The sequence below is a fragment of the Homo sapiens genome, chromosome 17 (assembly GCF_000001405.40).
Source record: "Homo sapiens chromosome 17, GRCh38.p14 Primary Assembly".
Classification (NCBI taxonomy): Eukaryota; Metazoa; Chordata; class Mammalia; order Primates; family Hominidae; genus Homo; species Homo sapiens.
The window spans coordinates 36,629,375-36,635,374 of record NC_000017.11 but is presented as its reverse complement, the minus strand read 5'-3'; the positions used below and the strand labels follow the sequence as shown (position 1 = coordinate 36,635,374).

General features: G+C 52.3%; 1 protein-coding gene across 4 annotated transcripts in view; it reads right to left on the bottom strand.

The window, feature by feature from the left end:
• Positions 1-676: 676 nt before the first annotated feature.
• MRM1 (mitochondrial rRNA methyltransferase 1) overlaps positions 677-6,000 on the bottom strand; it is a 33,116-nt gene continuing 27,792 nt past the window's right edge. The window contains exons 5-7 of one of the 4 annotated variants that reach the window (XR_934554.2): positions 3,731-3,831; positions 1,954-2,735; positions 677-1,637 (exon numbers count right to left, since the gene is read on the bottom strand). Coding sequence is in view for 2 of the 4 variants with exons in the window: in XM_011525275.3 (XP_011523577.1) it covers positions 3,737-3,831 (95 nt within the window). In the remaining 2 variants the exon portion in view is untranslated. Of the gene's footprint in view, positions 2,736-3,730; positions 3,832-6,000 lie in introns of all 4 variants that reach the window. The other 3 variants (XR_007065467.1, XM_011525275.3, XM_011525276.4) reach the window with 3 other exon arrangements.

The window sequence follows — 6,000 nt, the reverse complement described above, 5'->3', positions numbered from 1 at the left end:
GGAAGGCCATCTGAATTCCTAACTCCACTCGCCACCTGCGCCACCAACCTCCCTTTACACTGGAACTGAAACAAGGGTCTCCTCCTGTCTTTGATCCTTTTTCCCAAATTACTCACTTTGTTCATAAAATGTACGCTTTCCACCAAATAGAGATGCTATGGCTAAAGACTGAACTTTATGGTTATAACATTTAGTCTATTCTCTAAGCCTTGTTACTTGTTTTGAGAAATCCATTAGCAGTTTCTGTGTTAAGCCAGTTAATGATAACATTGGCCATTTGACTAATATTAAATTCCCTGGCTAATGTTTGGTGCAGATTTATACTACGGGTCCTTTCACCCCCCAGATTTTGTGGTGGTGGTGGCTCTGAGTAACATTGAAATAAACCATGTTATGTATCAATGAAGTGGGTCCAGACTTTGCCACATGTGCACATGGAGAATTTACAGTGCATCAATGTGCCAGCCCCTAAAGGGGGCATTGTAGCTTCTTCTGGCTGGAGGTGAATCCAAGGCAGCCCCAAGAGGTGGCTGCCACCCATCCCTGCTTTGATCATGTTCTGGGTCAGTACGCTAGGTACTGACCACCACCCCAGACCCTGTTGAGACAAAGAGTCCTGGTTTCCATTCCTGAACGTACTCGTGGAACATACAGGGGATGAAGATAACAACAGTAATTTGAACAAAATACAGCAGTTGCATTTATTATAGCAAGAAATTAGACACCTCACACATATCCAACGATGAGGGAGTGACCAAACAAAATGATCCATCAACATGATGGAATGCCATGTGGCCATTAAAACGACAAGACAGGAGGCCCTGCCACCCCGAAAATGACCGTGTGAGTCGATGTTAGGTAAAAGCAGGAAACCCAGTGGAAGGGCAGTGACACTGGAGACATATATCCCAGGGGAAACAGCTCTGCACCAGCACAGGGGGAACCAGGTTCAAACCTAGGCTCAGCTGTTAACATGCCTTAGTTGCCCCATTTGTAAAAGAAAATCAACACCCCTGGGCCCAGTGTTGTGGGAGGGCTACAGCAGGTCGCAGATGTGAAAGCCAGTTCATAGCACTCAGGATCTTTCAGACACCTGGTAACAAAAATGCCCGGAAAATCCAGAAAGAACTGATCAGAATGGAAACATGTACAAGTTCTTTCGCTCCTTTTTGGAGTAAGTCCATGTAATAAAAAAGACAGGAAATGGTTTGGGAATAGGGGCTCTAGAGCTTTGAAGATTCTCCATGGAGGATGTAGTTGGTGGCCCATGGAGGCTGGCTGGGCTCTAGAAGAATGGGGGAGAGAGAAAATGTGGGCTCCCCACCCACCCTAGGGCCCCAAAGAGGACCAAAGCCACATCTAAGTAACTGGGGGCTGAGAAATCCCAAGCTCAGTCTACAGTGAGAAGGGACAAACATCACCCCCAGCGCGCAGCTCCCAGGAAGCACAGTGGAGCCCGGAGAGTCACCTGGAATTCATCTCCTTCAGAGACCATGAGAGAGACAGAGGAGGAGAGAATCAGAGGCAGAGAGATAGAAGGAGGCACAGCGGAATCAGCCAGGGAAACAGGCCTAAATTATCTCCTCCTTCGGCCCATGTTCTTCATTCCTGCTGCTATCGGGGACTGCTCTGCCAGCCTGCTCCAGGAGCAAGAAAAATAAAATAAGCAGCTCTGACAGCTGGCTGCCTACGCCTCCTCCCTCTCCTCCCCTCCTCCTTCTCCCCTTCCTCCTCCTCCTCCTTTTCCTGCTCTTTCCTCCTCTTCCTCCTCCCCTTCTCTTCTTCCTCTTCCTCCTCCTCTTCTCCTCTTTGTCGTCTTCTTCCTCTTCCTCTTCGTCCCCTCCTCCCTCTCCTCTCTCCCTCCTTCCTCCATCCCCCTGCCCAAACACCATCTCCTGGTATCTGTTCTTCGAAGGAAGAGGGTGTGAGCCGGATGTAATGCAAATACTCTACAGGAATGTTTCTGGCAGGGAGCAGAATCCTCTTCCCTCACGGACCCAAGGATGAAACAGGGCCCCAGACGCCAAGCTGAGGCTGCTCCTCCCTTTCTCTGAAGACAGTCTGGGGACCTCAGATAGGGGGCTCCCCCTCCAGTCTTCCTCCAACACCACCTTCTTCCTTTGAGGAGTGGGAGTGGGGTTAAGGAGGCAAAGTGACGACCTGAGGGAGAAGGGGAGACGGGAGGGGCTCTTCTCTGGGGACATTCCCCTCAGGGTTTCTGAAGCCTGTGATCCCCGCGGTGAAGGAGAAAGGAGGCAAGCCACCCACAGGGAGCAAAGCAAATCGGGGATTCAAGGGAACAGTTTTGTAATTATCCAAATAATTCAGCCTCCTACTCTTTTCCCAATATATCCCGCTTTTGTTTTAATAATCCAGGAATTGGGAACAACGCCCTTTCCGTTTTACCGCACTTACCCTTTGCTCTAGGAAAGCAGCCTATTCACAGCCATTTTACGGCTGTGTGCCCAGCTTTCTCACTGAAGGCCTTTGCCCATGCCATTCCTCCCACCGCATCCCCTTCCCTTCTCCACCTGTAAGTCTGAGCCCACTGAGAAACTCGGGTTAATGCTGCTCCTTCTTCACAAAGCCTTCTTGGAATCTCCCAGCCAGAAAAGCTCTTTTCGTCTCTGCTGTCCTGGAAAGGACATTTACTCTGGGATTTTCAGCTCACACCATATCTCCAACTGGATGGCATCCTCTCCATGATCCTTTCACCCAATCAATCAATCAATGAGCTGAGAAAGAATTGGGGTGGGGAGATGGCAGTGGGGGGGAGCACAAAATTGCCCAAATCCTCGTTAACTGAGACTTGGACAGGCTTGGACTCACAGTTGGAGGCACCTGACACAGATTATCCCATGAAGGTTGCATGCCCACCCCACAGGCTAGGTCCTCTTACCATCCCATCTTGCCCCAGACACCCCCAGCTAGTGAGGATTTGAACCCAGCCTGGCCAAGTCCAACACCCACTCTCTTTCCACTCCACCACACTGCTTCCTACTGCCCCTTTCCTGGGGAAGAGAGGTTAGAAATGGGTATATGGCCGGGAGCTGGCTCTCCTGGCTCTTTGCTTCTTCATCCTCAGGCCCAAGCTGCACCCTGCCTGGCTCCACCCCTCAGTCAGCTGGTTGGGGAGATGGGGCTGGGGAGCCCTGGGCACTAACAAGTATTCATGCAGGTAAGCAGGTACCAGGAGCCAGGAGGGGCACATCAAAAACCTCTAGAACAGGCCAGGTGTGGAGCTGTAATCCCAGCACTTTGAGAGGCCAAGGCGGGCGGATCACCTGAGGTCAAGAGTTCGAGACCAGCCTGGCCAACATAGCAAAACTCCGTCTCTACTAAAAACACAAAAATTACCCAGGTGTGGTTATTTTTCCCTGGGTTGTTCTGTAGCTTGGCAGCAGGAATTAAGACTAACAGGAAAGGGGTCAGTTGTGGAGAGGTGCATGGAGAAGAGGATGTTGGAAGAGGGGAGCAAGGACCCCCAACCTCTGCAGACAACCTTGCCCAGCCCAGAGTTGAGGTAGGGGGAAGGGTTGATCCCATCTCCATCTCTGAGAAAGATTTATTTCTTCACTTCCCTAAGGTCTTTGGAGAAATGCTGCAACTCTCAGCCTGGCCCTCATCTCCACACCTCTGCCAGCACCTCAGTTCCAGCCCCAGGGCTCCAGGGACAGACTCCTAACATGAACTGCCAGGATACCATATATCCATCCATCTGACAGCTTACCTGAGCTCAGACGGCCTGCAAACTGGCAGGACAGGAGGGATGCCCCGCGTTTGGTGTGCTGAGTGCCTTTGTGTGTGTGATCTCATTCAAGGTTCCCAACTCTGAAAGCAGACATGATTAGCCCCTTTCACAAAAGGAAGCAGAGGTCTTAGTGACTTGCCCAAGGTCACATGCCTAAACAGGGACACAAACCCGCAGGAAAGATGGAGCACAAATGCTGGGGTCTCTGATAGTGGTGCACACATGCACACATGTGCACAAATACATGCACACATGTGTACCCCAAATCATTTAAATGGACCATTCCCCTCTGTGTGTGATGTAGTTTACAGATCCCCTGTGCTCCCATGCATTATCTCAGTTGGTTTAACAACAGGGTCCCGTGGTAACAGGCAGGGCAGATGTCATGAACCCATTTCTCAGATAAGGAACCCAAGGTTCAAAGAGGGTGAGCAATCTGCTCAAGGTCACAGTCTCCAGAGCTTTGATCACAATAATACTGACAAACTCCACCTCCGTTCACGTTTGTTAAATGCAGGAGCTGGGTGCTAAGCACCTTCCATGCATCTAACATTCATGGTCATCCCGTGGGGGAGACATTGTTATTATTCCCATCTTACAGATGATGAAACTGGGACTTAGAGGTGTTAGATGATATGGGGCAGCCACATAGAGTTAAGCCCCAGCCAGCCTGATTTTTACTCCAGGAAACTCGCCCAGGACGGGAAGCTTATTCACCTGGGCCCCCGAGTCCCAGCACCTAGACCAGTGCCTAGCCCACATGAGGTTCTCACTGAGCGTTTGTGGAACATTTGTTAACCAAATAAATCTGCCCCCAATGCCCTTACCCTCAACTTCCTCCTCCCAGACCTTTCCCTGCCCATCTCCTAACTCCTCGAATGTCTCTAGCGAACCATTCGAGACCTCTCCCCCAGGAGTCGAGGGTTACAGACCCCCTCAGTCCCTGCAATGGGACCGGGAAGTCAATTCACCACCTCACTCTCCTATCCCTATTAGCATTCAGGGATTTGTAGTTTGTCCTTAAGGTTCTCCCTTGCCTCAGTTTCCGCCCCTGGCACCAGATGTGAGGGAAGTAGGCAAGCAGACTGCTGGAGAAGAGGTCCCCTGAAAAGCCCACCCCTCTGCTTTCTTGTCCCACAAGCAAGTGCTGGGGATTTCCTTTCTTTCTCTCTAGATCCCGCAGAGCCCCAGACAACGGACGAGACAAAGAGCGGGCAAGCGGAGCAGTCAGGCCCAGCTCCAAGGCATGCATTTCCAAACAGGGAAAATGTGGACATCTGAGGACGGGGTCTCTCAAGGATACTCCCCCAAGTACAAGGTTTGGAGGCCCCTTTTGGAACACTGCCAATTCCAGCTGCCTCCACCCCCAGGCACCAATCACTCAACAGCACTGAGTGTTTACTGGGCCTGCAGGCAGGGAAATAATGCAAGATGCCACTTCCGCAAACTGGCAGGACAGGAGGGATGCCCTGCATTTGGTGTGCTGAGTGCCTTTGTGTGCATGATCTCATTCAAGGTTCCCAACTCTGAAAGCAGAAACGATTAGGAAGCAGAGGTCTTAGTGGCTTGCCCAAGGTCACATGCCTAAACAGGGACACAAACCTGAGGCCTTTAGGTCCTGTGCCTGGGTCTTGCTCTCCAAGCAAAGCTGATCCTTCAGTCACATCTGCCAAGGCTTCCTTTCCTACCAGCTGCAGGCATTGTAAACAAGCCCCCATGCCTCTTACCCAGCCCCCTTGTCCAAGGGCAAGGCAGATGGCCAAACCACTCCTGGGAGACCCCAGGTCTACAGCCCTAGGCTTTAGTGGTCAATGAGAGGACAACCTTCCCCAGGCCCTTAACTGGCTGAGGGGTGCCGGGCTGCCCCACCAGGGCCTGCTGATGTGCCCCCCCCCACCCCATCCCTCCCCTCCAGCTGCCCTCTGGTCCCTCTGCTCCTCCCACTGCCCCGCTTTCAGCCCCGACCCAAGAATGACCAGGAGTCACGGGTGGAGGAGCAGAGTTCCTGGTCCCCAGCCTGGCTTCTGACATCTCCGGCGCCCCTTGGCCTACCCTAGGTCGGGGTGTCAGGTCCAGTGAGACCAGCCTCCCCTCAAAGCCATCCAGCCCTGCCCTCTGGCCACTAGGCAGCCACATGCTCAGAGGATTGTCCAATGTCAGAGCGCCATCTAGTGTGAATGATGGGCACTGCACCCCTGCCTGCCGCCGCAGCTCACCCACTTGGCAGGACCTCTCATGGGGGTGGCCGG